This window comes from Homo sapiens, chromosome 11 (genome assembly GCF_000001405.40).
Source record: "Homo sapiens chromosome 11, GRCh38.p14 Primary Assembly".
NCBI lineage: Eukaryota > Metazoa > Chordata > Mammalia > Primates > Hominidae > Homo > Homo sapiens.
Window position 1 is genome coordinate 21,999,969 of NC_000011.10, and position 23,679 is coordinate 22,023,647.

The 23,679-nt window shown below is 38.5% G+C and overlaps 1 long non-coding RNA gene across 7 annotated transcripts in view, besides 1 other annotated feature; it reads left to right on the plus strand.

Moving 5' to 3' along the window:
- The window catches only part of LOC102723370 (uncharacterized), a 366,694-nt gene that overhangs the window by 246,763 nt on the left and 96,252 nt on the right, over positions 1-23,679 (plus strand). The gene's annotated exons all lie outside the window — the stretch shown is intronic.
- Positions 21,134-21,733: an enhancer, noted in NCBI's record as "H3K27ac-H3K4me1 hESC enhancer chr11:22042648-22043247 (GRCh37/hg19 assembly coordinates)". NCBI's record gives its function as "activates a minimal SCP1, AML or CMV promoter by ChIP-STARR-seq in primed H9 embryonic stem cells {active_cell/tissue: H9 hESC(primed)}" and the evidence as "EXISTENCE:reporter gene assay evidence [ECO:0000049][PMID:30033119]".

The window sequence follows — 23,679 nt, forward strand, 5'->3', positions numbered from 1 at the left end:
TTTTGCAGTGGCTGGTACCAGTTGTGCCTTTCCATGTTTAGCGCTTCCTTCAGGAGCTCTTTTAGGGCAGGCCTGGTGGTGACAAAATCTCTCAGCATTTGCTTGTCTGTAAAGTATTTTATTTCTCCTTCACTTATGAAGCTTTGTTTGGCTGGATATGAAATTCTGGGTTGAAAATTCTTTTCTTTAAGAATGTTGAATATTGGCCCCTACTGTCTTCTGGCTTGTAGAGTTTCTGCTGAGAGATCCACTGTTAATCTGATGGGCTTCCCTTTGTGGGTAACCTGACCCTTCTCTCTGGCTGCCCTTAACATTTTTCCTTCATTTCAACTTTGGTGAATCTGACAATTATGTGTCTTGGAGTTGCTCTTCTCGAGGAGTATCTTTGTGGCGTTCTCTGTATTTCCTGAATCAGAATGTTGGCCTGCCTTGCTGGATTGGGGAAGTTCTCCCGGATAATATACTGCAGAGTGTTTTCCAACTTGGTTCCATTCTTCCCATCACTTTCAGGTACACCAATCAGACGCATATTTGGTCTTTTCACATAGTCCCATATTTCTTGGAGGCTTTGTTCATTTCTTTTTATTCTTTTTTCTCTAAACTTCCCTTCTCGCTTCATTTCATTCATTTCATCTTCCATCACTGATACCCTTTCTTCCAGTTGATCACATGGGCTCCTGAGGCTTCTGCATTCTTCAAGTAGTTCTCGAGCCTTGGCTTTCAGCTCCATCAGGTCCTTTAAGCACTTCTCTGTATTGGTTATTCTAGTTATACATTCTTCTAAATTTTTTTCAAAGTTTTCAACTTCTTTGCCTTTGGTTTGAATTTCCTCCTGTAGCTCGGAGTAGTTTGATCATCTGAAGCCTTCTTCTCTCAACTCGTCAAAGTCATTCTCCGTCCAACTTTGTTCCGTTGCTGGTGAGGAACTGCGTTCCTTTGGAGGTGGAGAGGCGCTCTGCTTTTTAGAGTTTCCAGTTTTTCTGCTCTGTTTTTTCCCCATCTTGTGGTTTTATCTACTTTTGATGTTCAATGATGGTGACGTACAGATGGGTTTTTGGTGTGGATGTCCTTTCTGTTTGTTAGTTTTCCTTCTAACAGACAGGACCCTCCGCTGCAGGTCTGTTATAGGAACAGCTCCGGTCTACAGCTCCCAGCGTGAGCGACACAGAAGATGGGTGATTTCTGCATTTCCATCTGAGGTACCGGGTTTATCTCACTAGGGAGTGCCAGACAGTGGGTGCAGGACCGTGGGTGCAGTGCACTGTGCGCCAGCGGAAGCAGGGCGAGGCATTGCCTCACCGGGAAGGCAAGGGGTCAGGGAGTTCCCTTTCCTTGTCAAGGAAAGGGGTGACAGATGGCACCTGGAAAATCGGGCCACTCCCACCTGAATACTGCGCTTTTCCGACGGACTTAGGAAACGGCACACCAGGAGATTATATCCCGCACCTGGCTCGGAGGGTCCTACGCCCACGGAGTCTCGCTGATTGCTAGCACAGCAGTCTGAGATCAAACTGCAAGGTGGCAGCGAGGCTGGGGGAGGGGCACCCGCCATTGCCCAGGCTTGCTTAGGTAAACAAAGCAGCCGGGAAGCTCAAACTGGCTGGAGCCCACCACAGCTCAAGGAGGCCTGCCTGCCTCTGTAGGCTCTACCTCTAGGGGCAGGGCACAGACAAACAAAAAGACAGCAGTAACCTCTGCAGACTTAAATGTCCTTGTCTGACAGCTTTAAAGAGAGCAGTGGTTCTCCCAGCACGCAGCTGGAGATCTGAGAACGGGCAGACTGCCTCCTCAAGTGGGTCCCTGACCCCTGACCCCCAAGCAGCCTAACTGGGAGGCACCCCCCAGTAGGGGCAGACTGACACATCACATGGCCGGGTACTCCTCTGAGACAAAACTTCCAGAGGAACGATCAGACAGCAGCATTCGCGGATCACAAAAATCCATGGTTCTGCAGACACCGCTGCTGATACCTAGGCAAACAGGGTCTGGAGTGGACCTCTAGCAAACTCCAATATGGAAATTATTAACTAAGTTATGATGCAACCATAGGATTAACTATTAAGCTACCATTAAATATTAGAGGTCCACGTAAACTCTCATCTTCAGTCTGGGAATCCTTCACCCTATAGCTCTAGAGCCTGGCTACTCAAAGTGTAATCTGTAGACCACTTGCATCAGCATCAGCTTGTTAAAAATGCAGAATCTCAGGTTGCTCCCCAGAGTGACTGAATTAGAATCTACATTTTAACAAAATCCCAGGAGGTAGCTATGCATATTAGAGTTTGAGGCATCATGACCTAGAAGAAAAAGGAGTGTCACGTATGTCTGATTTGCAAATAATAACACTAAGGCATAAATATATTCTCTGTGAGACGGAAGCCTAGGTGGGGCTACATTCAACTATCTTTTTAAAATGATAATTTAACTGAGATAGTGCAAGTTTATTTACTGTTATTGTGTTTGGTAGAATTTTTCCAGAAAATAATTCACTTACTAATAGATAATAGCAAACTGGTTAAAAAGAGCATGAGTGAAAACATTTATCAGCTACTTTGTCCTCAGAATCTCTGGCTTCAACCTTATCTCTAAGCCCACTTAGAAAGTAGTTAAGTTGCCACAAGGAAGTCATATGCAAGTCTTATAGTCATAGTGCAGCATTACAGACAAAACCAAGGAGAGGCAGCTCAGAATCCTTGTCAGGTATAAAAAAAGATTCCTGGAGGATGTGGTTCCACTTAAACTTGAAGGATGTTGTAACTACATAGTATTCTGAAAATTAAGACCAAGTATTACACAAGTTATGAGACCCCTTCAGTGCCATACTATCTGGATTTTCAAAAAGATTTTCCAATGTCTCAACTAAGACCTTATATATAATACCTTCCCTTTCACATGTTTAACAATCAGATGATTAAGACCAAATATTGTCTCAAAAAAAGCTCTGAGAAGCATATTACTCTGACTTTTTATTCATGCCAGCCACACAATTATTCATTCATTTACCTTTGAGCAACTACTATGTGCCAAGTACAATGGCTTTATGATGGAATGCTAAATTACCGCAATCCCCCATAAATGGCTGATCATCTAGGCAGACAAGTAGTAAAGTGACTGAATCAATTAAGTTCAATGTGAAATATGCCATCATATGGACATGATACAAATGCTTAATGGAAGTATTTATTTCATTCTGAGATAGGGAGAAGTGTAAGGTTTCTCAGAGATAGGAACACTCATCTGGCTTCTATTTACACCACTTTGTTAATACTCTCCTAGTCCAGAATATCAGAGCCATCTGATTTATTCTGCACCCCACACCTAACAGAAAAAGATTAGTAGCTACCATACTCTGAATAACTGCTATAGGTGTTACAGTAGGTAGTTAGTCAGATATGAGCGGGATAGGAAAGGCTCCCACCACCACTAGGAATGTCACGCAATTATCAGGTGATGGTCAGGTGGTTATTAAACTGTCTCTCTAAAATAATAATTGGCCACAGCCAGCACCAAGGAAAAGCGGTCTCCCAATAGGTAAAAACCGGAAATTGGTGATTAACAGCTTCCCAATAAAATCTCAGGAGTTGGGCAAGTGGACTCAAGAATGCAGTTTAAGAGGCAAAATGGCAGAGTTTAACTGGTGTATTACCTACTATATGACCTTCTAGGGACATATGATTGGTAAGGGAAGAATGCCTCCAGTGAGCATGTGTACAGCTCCAGTAAACACATTGTGCATGCTCACCTCCCAAGTGCGGGTGGGCCACTGTGCATGCAGACAGCCCACCCTAAGGGAAAAATCAGGGGAGAAGGGATGCAAGACCCCAGAAACATGCCAACATATAAAACCCGAAGTCAAAACGTCAAACGGTGCACTCGATCTCTCAAGTCACCTGCTAGGCCCTCTTCCAAGTGTGTTTATCCTTGCTTTCATTCCTGCTTTAAAGCTTTTTGATAAACTTTCATTTCTGGTCTAAAGTTTGCCTTGGTCTCTTATTCTGCCTTTTGCCCCTCACTGGAATTCTTTCTTCTGAGGAGGGAAGAATTGAGGTTGCTGCAAACCTGTACAGATTTGCTGCCAATAGAATATTTGGTGCTGTGTCTCCAATATGTTCCACTAACATAGGTGTCAGACCTTCTGGGTGTTGGCACACTTCTACCCAATCTTTGCATCTCAGTTAATATCTCCAATTTCCATATAGTTGGTTAGGCTAAAAACTGAGGAATCATCTTTGAGTCTTTTCTTTTCCTCACCCCCACAATGAATCCAGTAGCAAATCTTCTCATGTTTACCTTTAATGTAAATTCCCAATCCCCACTTCTTTCCTGTCCACTGCCGCCACCAAGTCTAAGCCTCCATCACTGCTCACCTGGATTCTGCAAGATCTTCCTATATGACCTGCCATTCCTTCTCTTGCTCCTCATCAGATGTTTCTTCTCACAGTAGTTAGAGAAATTCTTGCATAATACAGACAAAATTGTACTATTCCCTGTCCTAAAGCCAGCTGATGTCTTCCCATTCACACATGGAATAAACAGAGTGTCTATTAGAACCTCCATGATTTGCTCCTGTATCCCTAAAACCTTACCACATGCCAGCTCTCCATTCCATACTGGTCACATTTATATTCCTGATGTACTTTCTCATGGCTGAGCTCTTGCTTGTCCTGTCTCTCTGCCTGGAACTCCTATTTATCTTGCTGCTAGAATGACTAACTCTCATTCTTCTGGTTTTAACTTAATTACCATTTCAGAGAGGCTTTTCTAAAATAGTATGCCCAAGCCCTACCCCATTATACTGACTATATCATCTTGATTATTTTCTTTATACAACTTATCATCAAGTTATCAAATGCAATGGCTTAAAGAAGAGGATTTATGGTTCCCTATAATCTCTATCAGCACACATAAAGTCAAGTCACATAACATAACATCTACATTACAAGAATATGACTGTCATATTTCAAGACAACACTCCCAGCTGCCCACCATCATCCAAACAGGTTGCAGACCCTAACACCTATATAAAATGCTAGCAGTATCACTGATTATCCTCAAGTATTATTCTTTAACTCATTTATTATTTGTTTACTGTCTATCATACTATAATATAAGCTTTTGATATACCTAACATATAGCACAATGCAAGAGCCAATAAATATCACATAAGTAAATAAATGGGTCAACTATACAGACACAGCTGTACTTATAATATCAATAGAATGTGAGGACCATGATCCATCCATTGCCTTTTGTCCCCTCACCCTTTAGCTATTCATTAATTCCTTGATTCATTTAGTCATCAAATATTTAATAAAGATTACATTTCTAAGAACTAGGAAGACAGAAGTGAACAAGACAAACAAAACCCCTGCCCTTGAGAATCTTATATTTTTCTATTAATTTAGTTGGAAAAGACAGACAATAAATACAACACATAAATAAACTATATAGTAAGTTAAATATGTCATGAAAAAAATAAATTAGGGTGAGGAAATAGGAAGTACAAAGGGAAGGGTGCCAAATTTAAACAAGGCAGTCACGATAGGTGATACGTGAGCATAGAGCCAAAGGGTGTAAATTGCAGATTCAGTTTTCAGAATGGGTTTTACTAAAATTGATTGCATGCTTGGATCTTAGTCATAGAATAGTGGACCAGGAAGGCATCTTAAAGATCTCTGAGCTGGGCATGGTGGTGCCACCTGTAGTCTGAGCTACTCAGGAGGCTGAGGTGAGAGGATCACTTGAGCCCAAGAGTTTGAGGCTGCAGTGAGCTGACTGTGCCACTGCCCTCCAGCCTGGGTGACAAAGCAAGACCCTGATGCTAAAACAAATAAACAAACAAAACAGCTCTGTGTAGTGGAGTACCATTCAAGACAAGCCACAACTTCCCAAAGGACTCTAATACAATTGAGGATGTCTAGGTGATGCTAATTGTACCTGAAATGACCTCACATCTTCTCTTTCTTTGTTTTGTTCTTTGATATGTGTTGTGTTACATCATTTAATTGCGTTTTATTTGGTGTGTAAGCATGATAGAAGACAGTAGAGAAAATATGAGGCTAGCTCAGAAGATAATTTGTTGGTCTAAACCCAGAAGAATACATCTTCATCTCATGGAATGAATTAAAATCATCACTTCACCCACTGTCTGGCACAAAGAAAGCACTTGGAAGTTGTTAACTTTAGGAATTGTTAACTGACAATATCCTTGTCATCATCTTCATCATCATCACTTCATTTACTCCTCAGGGTTTTGAAGAGGGTCCTATTACTACTTCCATTTAACAGATGAGAAAACTGAAGGTAGAGAGATTGGGTCAACCTAACTTCTCAAGTGAATTCAAACTAAACCAATATGACATTCATTTATAGTGCCCAATTAATTTGCCAACTAATTGTGGAACAGAAGATTGGAGAAGACTCTGTACTCTATGCTCTATCCCACCTTATCCTTCATTCATATTTTCAGCAAAGGAAATAAACGAATCTACTCCTTTACCCTAGACTTGTGCATAAAGACTGCAAGGATTTCCCTTTTCCCATTTACTGGCATTCCACCCTAGTCAGAGAAGAATGGCTTAGGAATGCTTTACATGGGCACTAGTTCTAGTCATGGCCCACAGCCAAGATGTAAGTGATTTTTTAAATAAGAAACTTCCAAAAAATTTGGAAATGTTGAAACACTTTTTAAACAATGACAAATCATATTCAGAAATCTAAAGGTACCATCATGTGCCATTGCTTTCAGAATCATGTTCAACTGGTGAATTAAATAACAGGAGTCTTGGGAGACACTGTGGCAAACTGAGGGGGCAGCCAGCAAATTCACTAAAAGTATCAATTTGGAATTTCCTACTCTGTCTTCCCTGAAGATAAGTTTAAACATTTACATGTTTTAAAGTTCCTTAATCTGACTTACCTCAATAATTCTATCCTTATGCTTTCTGGTTTGTAATCATTATAAGTCAATTTCTCTCCCAAAGGCAAAATCTAAAGAAATATGTATATATATATATACATATTATAGACATTTATATATATTCATTCCAAGACAGCTTACAGCTGACTTGGTTTTTCTCTCCTATTTTTATGTTGCACAGAGAGAGGCTGAAATCAATGTAGTGCCTTTTTGCCACCTAGTGGGAAATTTAATTTTGCTATTTCTTCCTTATCTCTTTTTTGCCAAGAGATAATAGAATTCTGTGCAAACAAAGCAGAAACAGGGAAGTCTATGTGTATACCTTCAGCATAGAATATCAGAAAGACAATGTATGTTTCAGAGAAAAGATCTGTCAGTGGTTAGAAGTTCAGGAGTAACATTCTTCCACTGTATTCTCAAGTCTGGTATTCTTTGATATCATTGTACTATCATTTTCTCTGCATTCATCTTTTAGGTTGCATTTCATGAGATCAATAGTATAAATATTATTCTGAAGAGTGTAGACCTAACAAATTAGTTACATCCAAATTCAGTATGCCTGAGGCTTCAAGGTCTCTTGAAAGAAAAAAAAATTCTAACGATAAAATATCCAACAATTAAAAATTTGCATCAAGAAGAGTAAGAGCTTCAATTTAATGAGAGTTTATTATGTATGGGATGCATTATGTATGTGAAATGTTGAGCAGAGTAGCTATCACATAGTCAGGACCCATAGTTATTTTATAAGAAAAGCTGTTAATTACCTCACATCTATTATTTTGCTTTATCCTCACTATTGCCTTCAAAAAATGATATTTTTCAGATTTTACATATGAGAAACTGAGACTCAGAGAGTTGAACTTATAAATGGGGAAGCCAGAATTTTCACTCTTGTGTGTCAGCAACTAAAATTTATTTCATAACCTGTACTCATTGTCCAAATAAGTCAATTAATAAACAAAATAAGAAATTCATTGCACTCCTAATAAGTAGAACTTTTCCCAATACAGTCATGTTTCATGTAACAATGTTTCAGCCAATGAAGGACCTCATATATGACTATAAGAATATAATGGAACTGAAAAATTCCTATCACCTAGTGATGGATTAATGATCCCGACCCTATGTAGGCCTAGGCTAATGTGTGTATTTACATCTTCATTTAAAAAAAAAAAGGTTAAGAAATACAAAAAATAAATAAAATAAAAATTAAGGTTTTTAAATAGAAAAAAGCTCATAGAATAACAATTTAAAAAGTATTTTTATACACTTGTAGAATGTGTTTGTGTTTTAAGTTAAGTGTTATTATAAAAGGGTCAAAATGTTTTTAAAAATTAAAAAGTTTATAAGATAAAAATGTTATAGGAAGTTAAGGTCAATTTATTATGGAAGAATGAATTTTTTTTTTTTTTTTGATACAGAGTCTAGCTCTGTCACCAGACTAGAGAGCAGTGGCGCGATCTCAGCTCACTGCCACCTCTGCCTCCTGGGTTCAAGTGATTCTCCTGCCTCAGCCTCCCTAATAGTTGGGACTACAGGCACATGCCACCATGCCCAGTTCATTTTTGTATTTTTAGTAGAGGAGGGGTGTCACTCTGTTGACCAGGATGGCCTCGATCTCTTGACCTCATGATTGGCCCGCCTCAGCCTCCCAAAGTGCTAGAGAAGAATGAAATTTTTTATAAATGTAAGGTAGCCTTGGTGTACATAGTTTATAAAGTCTACAGTAGTATACAATAATGTCCTAGGTCTCACATTCCATATAGCCTATAGCCTAGATGTGTAGCAGGCTATACCATCTAGGTTTGTGTTTATACTTTATGATGTTCATACAAGGATGGAATCACCTAACAACACATTTATTGGAAAGTATCCCTGTCATTAAGTGATACATGACTATATATGACTCTACAGCAATGTTGCCCACTTTTTTGACAGTAGTATATTTATCTATATGGGTACGTTAGACCAAAGAGCAATAAGACTTAGCCCCAGGTGCCAAGACCTATGAACAGATCAATAAAGACCTTAATACGACCCAGTGGCCTATAAGAAAAAGCCCCATTGTTTCAGAGGAACTGCTGATGGAATTGTTGCTATTCAATTGGTATGTTATTATAGTGGTGTCCTGGTAACCACAGATTGATGGGAGAAATACCAACACAATGGATAGAACAATGGTATATTTTGGTAGCGTATGAGAGGTCACACAGCATCATCTTTATGATCTTTGACTCTGGAGCCAAACAGCCTGGGTTTGAATGATGGCTCGGCCATTTACTAACTCTGTGACTGTATGCAAGCTACTTAACCCCAAATGCGTCAGTTTCTTCATCTTTAAAAATAACAATAACACTTCCTACCCCACTGGGATATTGGAAGTGCTAAATGAGTTATTTAATATAAAGCCCTTAGGATGATGCTTGACTAAATAGTAAGTGTCAATAAATTTTAGACATCATAATAGAGCTTTTTTTTTCAGATCTGTGACTTTATATTCAATCTGTTCTTCAGTTCCTGTGGGAAAGCAGACACAGCTCACTAGACTCAAAATGAACTATACCAGGCATGAGATTTAAAAAAAATCATTCACAAGAATTTTTCTCTGAGAGAAAACTCCATCTTTGATCATGAGAATGAGTTGAGGTGAAATGTAAGAACTTCCACAGATGGCTTCAAAGAGAGAGACAGACAGAGAGAGAGAGAGAAAGAAAATTCTTCTACAAAAGGGAAGAAGAATATGAGATTCCAAAGGGTGAGTGAGGGGCAGTGGATATATAAGTGAAAGACAACAGGAATCAGAAAGGTAGAGGAATATTGGGGAAATGGTAGAGAAATAGGACTTAGGAGCAGCAGCAAAGAAAGTTCATAGAATTGTCCAAAAAGGGATTTTTAAGTTGTGTGCTAAAACTGACCCCTATCCTCGTTCCACTACAAAATCTAAAATAAATTCTACATTCCTTACTAATGCTTTTGTGTGAGGAAATTATTTTGGAAAGTTCAAAGACATTTTATATGGGTTCAGGTGGATGCCAGGAACAGAGAACAAACAACAACACAAAGGCTCAGAGGCTAGCATTAGAGGCAAGAACTAGAACTAGAGGTAGAAATCCCCAGATATCAGTAAAACTATGAAGAAAGCTACAGGTTTCCAAGGGCATAGAATTGATTAGAATCTTAGTAACACTGACTCTGCCTTAATTTAACTTTAGTGATGTTTTAAGTATGACAAAAGATCAAGACATTATTACATTTTATGATTTTTTTAACTGCAAGAGTATAACCAGCAGAACATATAGTATTCTTTTGTAAGACATTTAGCAGAGACATGGTATTATATAGAATCAGGATTATAGACTGAGAATATTCCACAGAGAAGAAAAATAAGGGGAAGCAATGCAGGCAAAGATCAATGACACTTGTCATGGTAATGAGGCAAACTAAAAAGCTGAGTGTACATGAAAATTTATTTCAATTAATAATAGACATTTTAAAATTTCACAAATATATTCCCATCCATTATTTCATTTAATTTTCATGCTATGCCTATTATTAGGATAGGACAGGGATTATTCTTCCCTTTTATTTGAAATAAACCCAACAACCTTTAATAAGTTCTATCTTTAGTAGAAAAACAAAGCAGAATGCACATTCAAATTGTCTGACCACTGGTCTAAAACTTATTTGTTCTTTCATTCGATAAGTATGTATTGAGGGCCTACTAACGATCTGGCTCCATGCTATATTCTGTAATGAGACATCTCTTGAATATAAACTATGCCTTCTTGAAAATAATGACTTGCAGGGGCCAACAGTTCACAAATATTTTTCTAGAGAAAGAAGAAAGTGAATTGTGTGTTAAGGGTTTCTTCCTACTGTTTATACTTCAAAAGCAAATATATCCTTGCAATGGTGGTAGCTTCATGTCACACCACCTACCAGACTCAGGCCTGGAAGAATATACTAGGAAACCCTTGGATATTTGTGGCCAGATGCATGTACTAAACATTCCATTATTCTAGTTTCTTTGTTCCAGGGGCAGCTTGTTCTGTAACCACTGAATAATACTGCTTAATTTCAGAGTTCACTATCATGGTTTTGACTGGTTTAAGCAAATATAATTTATGATCTCTATGTGCCACATGGGACGCTGGAAACTAGTTTCCACAGTACTTCCAACAACTCCAATATAAGTAAATCCCTGTCTCTCATCCTATGATCCTCATTTATAAAATGAGAATGGTAACAGTACTCAATTCACAGGGTTACTAGAAAATTTGATGGATTTGTATACAGAAGTACCAAACACATGGTCGGTGCTTAATGATTGTTATTTTTTGTTATTAATATTCTGTTATAAATTTAGAAGGTTAATTATTTAACCAAGATCCCATAGCTAGTAAGGGGTAGGGGCTGGTTCTGATTCCAGAGCCAGGGATTTTAAACTCAGCTATCCTAAAGTAGAAATGTAATTATGTCTGGCAATGAGACCCAAGCAGAGGGTCAGTGAAAATGAAGTTAGAATGGTGAGCATAAGAAAGGGGAAAAAAATTTAAAACTGTTTCAATAACTTGACTTGATGAAAGCAATGACTAGATTCTGTGAAAAGAAATACAAACTAACGAGCCTCAGGGCAAAAAAGTAAGAACAGGGATTATTATCTAAATGGCTCATTTGCTTCTAAACATTAAACTGGTGAAGGATGGAAAGAATATTGGGGGCTAAGGCACATCAGAAATCATCCTTGCTTTTAAGAAACCATAGAAAACTTTGAAAGGCAATATGGGCACATATGATAAGCTGGCACAGACAAGGAAAGGAAATTTATTTGAAAATTTACACAAAAGCTAGAAGAAAAACTCAAATATACAAGAAATGAAGAAAATAAGAATTGTTTTATAGATTGGTGTTCAAAGGAAAAAATATGAGAATGCACATAGCAAAGTGTCCATAATGTTTCGAAACATGGAAGGTTTCAGTGTCCCTTGGCAATGAATATTTTAATATATTATTTCAAATAATGTAATTATTCAATCAAAAGATCTATCAGACTGTGTCCATTACCTATTATATCCCACTTCTAGGTATCAATATCTTTTAGCTGTGTAATATTATAAACCAAAACCTTAAGCAACAATGAGTTGTTTATTATATCTTATAATTCTGTGGATCGATTGGGTAATTCTTATGTTCACCTGAGCTCACGTGTGTGTTGCATTCAACTGAGGAGGTCAGCGTGGGAATGGACTTAGCAGGTACTGCTAGAATGGCTGCAGTTCTCCTCCTAGGTAGATTTTTGTTCTTGGCTGATTTTCCAACATGGCAACTTCAGGGCAGTGTTCAGGAGGCCAAAGGTATAGGCTACATCACCTAGGTTGCATGCAAAAAAAAAAGCAAGTCAGAAGTCCAGTACAGATTCAAGAGATAGGGAGGTAGACAACACTCCTTGATGGTAAGAGGTGCACAATATTGTTGATGTGGTTTTCAGCCTACTTCTGGGAGTGTCATAGATTGAAATATATTAGAGGTTCTCCTGACTGATCTTTATTTTTTGTACATTATGAAATTTAGTGATGTGCATAATCCCTGAAAAATCTTAAATCCATAATTACCACATCTCCCTCAAGATTAATGGCATTGATGTACTTTTTCATATATACTTTCTTTTAAATGATATTATAGGAAAATAAGACTGTGACCTTTGCACTTTATCACTGAAGAATCCAGACTCAAAATAGTGTGAAAAGAATGTATGTGGTTTCTTATAAATATCTCAATTTTCCACATTTAGAGAATTAAAAATTAACCATATAAGCCTGATATGTCACATCTCAGAATCCTTTGCAAATATTTCTCTCATACATATCTTTAGGGATTACTTATGGGATAATTTGCCATGTAAAGGCCTGAAACTGATAAATTTCTGGAGATAGAAAAAAATAAGCCAAAATATATGTGCTTTCAGAACAAAATGTTTCTCTTCTGTCACGAGATCTGGGAATCAACTTTCATTCAGGTTGACACGCATTGTTGTAAACACTTGAAAGAAAGTATGTAAAGACTACAAATTTATTATATTAATTTCATGTAGCTTTACTGCCTTTCTATGTTTTGATTCATTCAAAAACCTAGCATGGGCCTGAGACATCGATGGTATCAACAATAGTGGCAGCCTGGCTCACTGTACCTGAGAAACTCAATTGTGCCCTGCCCACTTGCCTATTCATGGGTTCCCTACCTTGTGCAGGAGAAAACAATGGTAACCGGCATCACTTTAGGGAAGAATCTAAGACTACCTAGGCAAAGGAAAAACCTGAGTACATTCTTCTTCCAATTTTCCAATGTGCAATAAAACCACTGTTGCTACATTAGAAGATCTGTAGATTGATTAGGAGAGAGCGGTGGTGTAGGAAATTCCTTCAGTTTAGATGTAGGTCTAAAATGTACCTTTGTTCAGAACTCTATATACATCTTCTGAAGTAAAACAGCCCAAGCTATGGTGTCACAATCCCAATAGCTACTTAACAAGATCTGCACTGATAACCATTGCCTAATCCATATTAGCTCCACTCCTAATATACTGCATACTGTTGTAAGAAAACTGCACACAAAGCACAACTGTAACCTATTTACTGTCTTACGAGTAGATCTTAGATTTTTTTTCCAGAATGTTTAGAAGCACATTTCAGGTTTCCTAAAGACATCTCAAAACTGGAAGTTGAAAAAAAATTTAAGCAATTAGTTTAAGAAAAGGTAACTGAGAGCATTTCATATACTAGAACTACCTCAAAGTAGTCAGAATGTGTGAGAACATAGGGAAGGTGGGGTGGTTCCTGAGAAGAGCGATGAGCAGCTGAGTACAACTCACAGAGAAAGTCCTGCCTGAAGGATTTTCCTGTTGGTACAAGCACCCTGCTCCTCTGGCAGCATCCTCAGCAGAAGTTGGAATCTATGCCTCCTGGAACTTACCTGACATGTGTGGTACTCACAATAAGAAAATGAAGCCATCTTAATCTGAGATAAAAACAAGCTTGAGGTCTCCCTGGACCTGGGTCAGTCCACATTTTGCAAAATTTTGTAAACATGACGTGAAAACCTAAGGTCATGCGCTAAGCCCATGCACTAAGCTGTAAGGGAAACATTATTCCATCGCAATGTTATTTATTTTTAATTTTTACTGGGAGACGTTGAATCATTAACTTGAGAAACACATTTTCTAGATCCACTTATAGTCTAATAATCGAGAATTACAAAATGAGCTAAACCCTTTAACATACTATCCAGTGTGCTTGGTCTATTGGAGTCCAATTTCTGGATTATTCTTTGTAGTTTGTAGTCATCCTAGACAATGTGTTAATTCTTCAGGCTCTATCAGGCATGGTGTAGGACAAACAGCAAAATATGTTTTTCTGTTATGCTTCCAAATAAAACAGGTGCTAATGACAACTATTTATAAATAACCACTAAAGTGTTTCTTATGTTGTTTTAGGTGTGTGTGTGTATATATATGTATATGTGTATATATGTGTGTGTGTATATATATACATAAACATGTGTTGTATGTATATATATACACACACACTTATATACCCCACACACATATATGTGACTCACTTTTTACCATATATACAGATACATGGCAACATATACATATACATATATACATGTGGTATATATGTGTATATATAAATATATATGGCATACACATAGATACATGTATCTATGTGTGTACATATGGTAAAGAGTGAATCAGACCTGGAAAAACATGAGGAAATTGGCATCATATGTAGCGCATTCCTTTTGTATGGACTGAAATGGAAGTCAACTAGAATATAGTTACCTTAAATGTTTGTCCTCACTATTTCAACTGAAATTTTGTGGCAGTTCTGCTAGAGTTTGGTCTACATCAAATCTTAACTATCATCTTAATTAAGAAAATCATCATGTTTATTGCATTATGGTAGCTTCTCCACTGTTCCAGCTTCTAGACCTCTGAGACTTGTTCACAAGTGGATTCAAAAAACAATAATAAAATTGAGGATCTTATTTATGCTCTACATGAGTTATTGTACAGTGATTCAAATTTAATCACATGGATGATTAAAATAGGCTCTCAATTTCTGTTGAGCAATTTCAACTTCACTCTTTTCTTGGTAAATAAACAAACACATCAAACTACTGGTTTGGAGTGGGCTGTAAGCGAGACTCTGGTGACATCAGAATGAATAATACACATTTTCCATTCTCATAAGGATATATGCTGATTTACTGCAATTCTCAACTTTTCTATTCTTAAGACTTCTTTATACTCTGAAAAATTATTGAGGACTGTAAATAAATTTTATTTATGTGGTTTATAATTATGGATGTTTATTATATTAGAAACTTCAATTGAGATATTTTATTAAAATATTTAAATAACAATAAATCCATTAAAAATTAACATAAAAACACATTGTTGTGAAAAACGACATTTTAAAACTTTTAAGTACATGGACTCATAACATAAGGGTTTGTTGTATAGATTATTTCATCACCAGGGTATTAAACCTAGTACCCATTAGTTATTTTTCCTGATCCTCTCCTTCCTCCCACCTTCCACCCTCAGGTAAACCCCAGTATCTATCACTTCCCTCTATGTGTCCATTTGTTCTCATCACTTCAATTCCATTTATAAGTAGGAACATGTGGGATTTGATTTTCTGTTCTTCTGTTAGTTTGCTAAGAATAATGGCCTCCGGCTCCATGTATGTTCCCGCAAAAAACATTATCTCATTTTCTTGTGGCTGCCTAGTATTCCATGGTGTATATGTGCCTTATTTTCTCTATCCAGTCTACCATTGATGGGCATTTAAGTTGATTCCATGTCTTTGCTATTGTGAACAGTGCTGCAATGAACATACATACACACGTGCCTTTATGATAGAATGATTTATATTCCTTTGAATATATATCCAGTAATGTGATTCCTGGGTTGAATGGTAGTTGTGTTTTTAGCTCTTTTAGGAATTGCCATGCTGCTTTTCACAGAGGTTGAACTATTGTATACTGCCACCAACAGTATATAAGAATTCCTTTTTCTTCACAACTTCATCAGCATCTGTTATTTTTTGAATTTTTTTTTATTATACTTTAAGTTTTAGGGTACATGTGCACATTGTGCAGGTTAGTTACATATGTATACATGTGCCATGCTGGTGCGCTGCACCCACTAACTCGTCATCTAGCATTAGGTATATCTCCCAATGCTATCCCGCCCCCCTCCCCCCACCCCACCACAGTCCCCAGAGTGTGATATTCCCCTTCCTGTGTCCATGTGATCTCATTGTTCAATTCCCACCTATGAGTGAGAATATGCGGTGTTTGGTTTTTTGTTCTTGCAATAGTTTACTGAGAATGATGATTTCCAATTTCATCCATGTCCCTACAAAGGACATGAACTCATCATTTTTTATGGCTGCATAGTATTCCATGATGTATATGTGCCACATTTTCTTAATCCAGTCTATCATTGTTGGACATTTGGGTTGGTTCCAAGTCTTGCTATTGTGAATAATGCCGCAATAAACATACGTGTGCATGTGTCTTTATAGCAGCATGATTTATAGTCATTTGGGTATATACCCAGTAATGGGATGGCTGGGTCAAATGGTATTTCTAGTTCTAGATCCCTGAGGAATCGCCACACTGACTTCCACAATGGTTGAACTAGTTTACAGTCCCACCAACAGGGTAAAAGTGTTCCTATTTCTCCACATCCTCTCCAGCACCTGTTGTTTCCTGACTTTTTAATGATTGCCATTCTAACTGGTGTGAGATGGTATCTCATTGTGGTTTTGATTTGCATTTCTCTGATGGCCAGTGATGATGAGCATTTTTTCATGTGTTTTTTGGCTGCATAAATGTCTTCTTTTGAGAAGTGTCTGTTCATGTCCTTCGCCCACTTTTTGATGGGGTTGTTTGTTTTTTTCTTGTAAATTTGTTTGAGTTCATTGTAGATTCTGGATATTAGCCCTTTGTCAGATGAGTAGGTTGCGAAAATTTTCTCCCATGTTGTAGGTTGCCTGTTCACTCTGATGGTAGTTTCTTTTGCTGTGCAGAAGCTCTTTAGTTTAATTAGATCCCATTTGTCAATTTTGGCTTTTGTTGCCATTTCTTTTGGTGTTTTGGACATAAAGTCCTTGCCCATGCCTATGTCCTGAATGGTAATGCCTAGGTTTTCTTCTAGGGTTTTTATGGTTTTAGGTCTAACGTTTAAATCTTTAATCCATCTTGAATTAATTTTTGTATAAGGTGTAAGGACGGGATCCAGTTTCAGCTTTCTACATATGGCTAGCCAGTTTTCCCAGCACCATTTATTAAATAGGGAATCCTTTCCCCATTGCTTGTTTTTCTCAGGTGTGTCAAAGATCAGATAGTTGTAGATATGTGGCGTTCTTTCTGAGGGCTCTGTTCTGTTCCATTGATCTATATCTCTGTTTTGGTACCAGTACCATGCTGTTTTGGTTACTGTAGCCTTGTAGTATAGTTTGAAGTCAGGTAGTGTGATGCCTCCAGCTTTGTTCTTTTGGCTTAGGATTGACTTGGCGATGCGGGCTCTTTTTTGGTTCCATATGAACTTTAATGTAGTTTTTTCCAATTCTGTGAAGAAAGTCATTGGTAGCTTGATGGGGATGGCACTGAATCTGTAAATTACCTTGGGCAGTATGGCCATTTTCACGATATTGATTCTTCCTACCCATGAGCATGGAATGTTCTTCCATTTGTGTGTATCCTCTTTTATTTCCTTGAGCAGTTGTTTGTAGTTCTCCTTGAAGAGGTCCTTCACATCCCTTGTAAGTTGGATTCCTAGGTATTTTATTCTCTTTGAAGCAATTGTGAATGGGAGTTCACTCATGATTTGGCTCTCTGTCTGTTGTTGGTGTATAAGAATGCTTGTGATTTTTCTACATTGATTTTGTATCCTGAGACTTTGCTGAAGTTGCTTATCAGCTTAAGGAGATTTTGGGCTGAGACAATGGGGTTTTCTAGATATACAATCATGTCATCTGCAAACAGGGACAATTTGACTTCCTCTTTTCCTTATTGAATACCCTTTATTTCCTTCTCCTGCCTAATTGCCCTGGCCAGAACTTCCAACACTATGTTGAATAGGAGTGGTGAGAGAGGGCATCCCTGTCTTGTGCCAGTTTTCAAAGGGAATGCTTCCAGTTTTTGCCCATTCAGTATGATATTGGCTGTGGGTTTGTCATAGATAGCTCTTATTATTTTGAAATACGTCCCATCAATACCTAATTTATTGAGAGTTTTTAGCATGAAGGGTTGTTGAATTTTGTCAAAGGCTTTTTCTGCATCTATTGAGATAATCATGTGGTTTTGGTCTTTGGTTCTGTTTATATGCTGGATTACATTTATTGATTTGCGTATATTGAACCAGCCTTGCATCCCAGGGATGAAGCCCACTTGATCATGATGGATAAGCTTTTTGATGTGCTGCTGGATTCGGTTTGCCAGTATTTTATTGAGGATTTTTGCATCAATATTCATCAAGGATATTGGTCTAAAATTCTCTTTTTTGGTTGCGTCTCTGCCCGGCTTTGGTATCAGAATGATGCTGGCCTCATAAAATGAGTTAGGGAGGATTCCCTCTTTTTCTATTGATTGGAATAGTTTCAGAAGGAATGGTACCAGTTCCTCCTTGTACCTCTGGTAGAATTCGGCTGTGAATCCATCTGGTCCTGGACTCTTTTTGGTTGGTAAACTATTGATTATTGCCACAATTTCAGCTCCTGTTATTGGTCTATTCAGAGATTCAACTTCTTCCTGGTTTAGTCTTGGGAGGGTGTATGTGTCGAGGAATGTATCCATTTCTTCTAGATTTTCTAGTTTATTTGCGTAGAGGTGTTTGTAGTATTCTCTGATGGTAGTTTGTATTTCTGTGGGATCGGTGGTGATATCCCCTTTATCATTTTTTATTGTGTCTATTTGATTCTTCTCTCTTTTTTTCTTTATTAGTCTTGCTAGCGGTCTATCAATTTTGTTGATCCTTTCAAAAAACCAGCTCCTGGATTCATTGATTTTTGGAAGTGTTTTTTGTGTCTCTATTTCCTTCAGTTCTGCTCTGATTTTAGTTATTTCTTGCCTTCTGCTAGCTTTAGAATGTGTTTGCTCTTGTTTTTCTAGTTCTTTTAATTGTGATGTTAGGGTGTCAATTTTGGATCTTTCCTGCTTTCTCTTGTGGGCATTTAGTGCTATAAATTTCCCTCTACACACTGCTTTGAATGCGTCCCAGAGATTCTGGTATGTTGTGTCTTTGTTCTCGTTGCTTTCAAAGAACATCTTTATTTCTGCCTTCATTTCGTTATGTACCCAGTAGTCATACAGGAGCAGGTTGTTCAGTTTCCATGTAGTTGAGCGGCTTTGAGTGAGATTCTTAATCCTGAGTTCTAGTTTGATTGCACTGTGGTCTGAGAGATAGTTTGTTATAATTTCTGTTCTTTTACATTTGCTGAGGAGAGCTTTACTTCCAAGTATGTGGTCAATTTTGGAATAGGTGTGGTGTGGTGCTGAAAAAAATGTATATTCTGTTGATTTGGGGTGGAGAGTTCTGTAGATGTCTATTAGGTCCGCTTGGTGCAGAGCTGAGTTCAATTCCTGGGTATCCTTGTTGACTTTCTGTCTCGTTGATCTGTCTAATGTTGACAGTGGGGTGTTAAAGTCTCCCATTATTAATGTGTGGGAGTCTAAGTCTCTTTGTAGGTCACTCAGGACTTGCTTTATGAATCTGGGTGCTCCTGTATTGGGTGCATATATATTTAGGATAGTTAGCTCCTCTTGTTGAATTGATCCCTTTACCATTATGTAATGGCCTTCTTTGTCTCTTTTGATCTTTGTTGGTTTAAAGTCTGTTTTATCAGAGACTAGGATTGCAACCCCTGCCTTTTTTTGTTTTCCATTTGCTTGGTAGATCTGCCTCCATCCTTTTATTTTGAGCCTATGTGTGTCTCTGCATGTGAGATGGGTTTCCTGAATACAGCACACTGATGGGTCTTGACTCTTTATCCAATTTGCCAGTCTGTGTCTTTTAACGGGAGCGTTTAGTCCATTTACATTTAAAGTTAATATTGTTATGTGTGAATTTGATCCTGTGATTATGGTGTTAGCTGGTGATTTTGCTCGTTAGTTGATGCAGTTTCTTCCTAGTCTCGATGGTCTTTACATTTTGGCATGATTTTGCAGTGGCTGGTACCAGTTGTTCCTTTCCATGTTTAGTGCTTCCTTCAGGAGCTCTTTTAGGGCAGGCCTGCTGGTGACAAAATCTCTCAGCATTTGCTTGTCTGTAAAGTATTTTATTTCTCCTTCACTTGTGAAGCTTAGTTTGGCTGGATATGAAATTCTGGGTTGAAAATTCTTTTCTTTAAGAATGTTGAATATTGGCCCCCACTCTCTTCTGGCTTGTAGGGTTTCTGCCGAGAGATCCGCTGTTAGTCTGATGGGCTTCCCTTTGAGGGTAACCCGACCTTTCTCTCTGGCTGCCCTTAACATTTTTTCCTTCATTTCAACTTTGGTGAATCTGACAATTATATGTCTTGGAGTTGCTCTTCTCGAGGAGTATCTTTGTGGCGTTCTCTGTATTTCCTGAATCGAATGTTGGCCTGCCTTGCTGGATTGGGGAAGTTCTCCTGGATAATATCCTGCAGAGTGTTTTCCAACTTGGTTCCATTCTCCGCATCACTTTCAGGTACACCAATCAGACGTAGATTTGGTCTTTTCACATAGTCCCATATTTCTTGGAGGCTTTGCTCATTTCTTTTTATTCTTTTTTCTCTAAACTTCCCTTCTTGCTTCATTTCATTCATTTCATCTTCCATTGCTGATACCCTTTCTTCCAGTTGATCGCATCGGCTCCTGAGGCTTCTGCATTCTTCACGTAGTTCTCGAGCCTTGGTTTTCAGCTCCATCAGCTCCTTTAAGCACTTCTCTGTATTGGTTATTCTAGTTATACATTCTTCTAAATTTTTTTCAAAGTTTTCAACTTCTTTGCCTTTGGTTTGAATGTCCTCCCGTAGCTCAGAGTAATTTGATCGTCTGAAGCCTTCTTCTCTCAGCTCGTCAAAGTCATTCTCCATCCAGCTTTGTTCCGTTGCTGGTGAGGAACTGCATTCCTTTGGAGGAGGAGAGGCGCTCTGCGTTTTAGAGTTTCCAGTTTTTCTGTTCTGTTTCTTCCCCATCTTTGTGGTTTTATCTGCTTTTGGTCTTTGATGATGGTGATGTACAGATGGGTTTTCGGTGTGGATGTCCTTTCTGTTTGTTAGTTTTCCTTCTAACAGACAGGACCCTCAGCTGCAGGTCTGTTGGAATACCCTGCCGTGTGAGGTGTCAGTGTGCCCCTGCTGGGGGGTGCCTCCCAGTTAGGCTGCTCGGGGGTCAGGGGTCAGGGACCCACTTGAGGCAGTCTGCCCGTTCTCAGATCTCCAGCTGCATGCTGGGAGAACCACTGCTCTCTTCAAAGCTGTGAGACAGGGACATTTAAGTCTGCAGAGGTTACTGCTGTCTTTTTGTTTGTCTGTGCCCTGCCCCCAGAGGTGGAGCCTACAGAGGCAGGCAGGCCTCCTTGAGCTGTGGTGGGCTCCACCCAGTTGGAGCTTCCCGGCTGCTTTGTTTACCTAAGCAAGCCTGGGCAATGGCGGGCGCCCCTCCCCCAGCCTCGCTGCCGCCTTGCAGTTTGTTCTCAGACTGCATTGCTAGCAATCAGCGAGATTCCGTGGGCGTAGGACCCTCTGAGCCAGGTGTGGGATATAGTCTCGTGGTGCGCTGTTTTTTAAGCCGGTCTGAAAAGCGCAATATTCGGGTAGGAGTGACCCGATTTTCCAGGTGCGTTCGTCGCCCCTTTCTTTGACTTGGAAAGGGAACTCCCTGACCCCTTGCGCTTCCCAGGTGAGTCAATGCCTCGCCCTGCTTCGGCTTGCACATGGTGCGTGCACCCACTGGCCTGCTCCCACTGTCTGGCACTCCCTAGTGAGATGAACCCGGTACCTCAGATGGAAATGCAGAAATCACCCATCTTCTGCGCCGCTCACGCTGGGAGCTGTAGACCGGAGCTTTTCCTATTCGGCCATCTTGGCTCCTCCTCCCTTGAATTTTTAATAGTAGCCATTCTCACTGTTGTGAGATGATGTTTTACTGTGGTTTTGATTTGCATTTCTCTAATGATTGTGATGTTGAGCTTTTTTTCATATGTTTCTTGGCAGCGTGTATGTCTTCTTTTGATAAGTGTCTGTTCTCGTCCTTTGTCCACATTTTAATGGGTTTGGTTGTTTTCTTGTAAATTTGTTTAGGCTCCTTATAGATGCTGGGTATTAGACCTTTACCAAATGAATAGTTTTCAAAATCTTTCTCCCATTCTATAGGTCATCTGTTTACTCTTTTGATAGTTTCTTTTGCAGTGTGAGTAGCTTTAGTTTAATGAGGTTCAATTTGTTAATTTTTTCTCTTGATGAGAAATTTTTTCATCATAAAATCTTTGCCCATTCCTGTGTCCTAGTATTGCCTATGAGGTTGTTTTCTAAGGTTTTTATATAATAGTTTTGAGTTTTACATTAAATCTTTGATCCATCTTGATCTGATTTTTTTATATGGTATAAGAAAGAAGTTCAGTTTCAATCTTCTGCGTATGGCTAGCCAGTTATACCATCACCACTTATTGAATAGGGAGCCCTTTGCCAATTGCTTGTTTTTGGCAGCTTTGTCAAAGATCAAATGGTTGTAGGTAGCCTTATTTCTGGGTCTCTATTCTGTTCCATTGGTGTATGTGTCTGTTCTTGTACCAGTACAATGCTGTTTTGGTTACTCTAGTCTTTTTTTTTTTTTTTTTTTTTTTTTTTTTTTGAGATAGTCTCACTCTGTCACCCAGACTGGAGTGTACAGTGTCATGATCTTGGCTCACTGCAACCTCCGCCTCCCAGGTTCAAGCAATTCTGCCTCAGTCTACAGAGTAGCTGGGACTACAGGAACAGGAGCTCCTTGTAGAGTTTCTGCTAAGAGTTCTTCTGTTAGTGTGATGGGTTTCCCTTTGTAGGTGATCTACAATGGGAAGGTAATTTAACATTTTTTATTTCATTTTACCCTCTAGAATCTGAAGATTATGTGTATTCAAGATGGCCTTCTTGTGAAATATCTTACTGGAGTTCTCTGCATTTTCTGACTTTGAATATTGACTTCTCTAGCTATGTTTGGGAAGGTCTCATGGATGATATCCTAAAATATGCGTTCCAAGTTGCTTCCATTCTTCCCATCTCTTCCAGGAACATCAATGAGTAGATTCTATCTCTTTTCACAATCCCATATTTCTTAGAGGTTTTGTTAATTCCTTTTTGTTCTTTGTTCTTTATTCTTGTCTGTCTTATTTCAGAAATTTTAAAACTATACTAAGGTCTCAATATCTTAATCTACTCTCATAAACAGCATAGTCAATATTTTAGTATATTTGGAGTTATTTCTAAATTGAAAAGTATTGGTTTATCAAATGCCTAGGAAGCCTTCTTATTTGAAGCTCAGTTTCTTCAAATGAACAATCAAATATTTCATCCAAAAGAGAAATGTATGTTTTGATAAAATATGAACAAAAGATGACCCTTGATAAAGGCATTTTATTACTTAGAAAGCCAATATTTCTTTGCTGTAATTTTTAGAAGATATATTCTTATTAGAAAAAGGCATTTTTCTTAATAATATACATTATGGCTAATTGTAATAGAGAA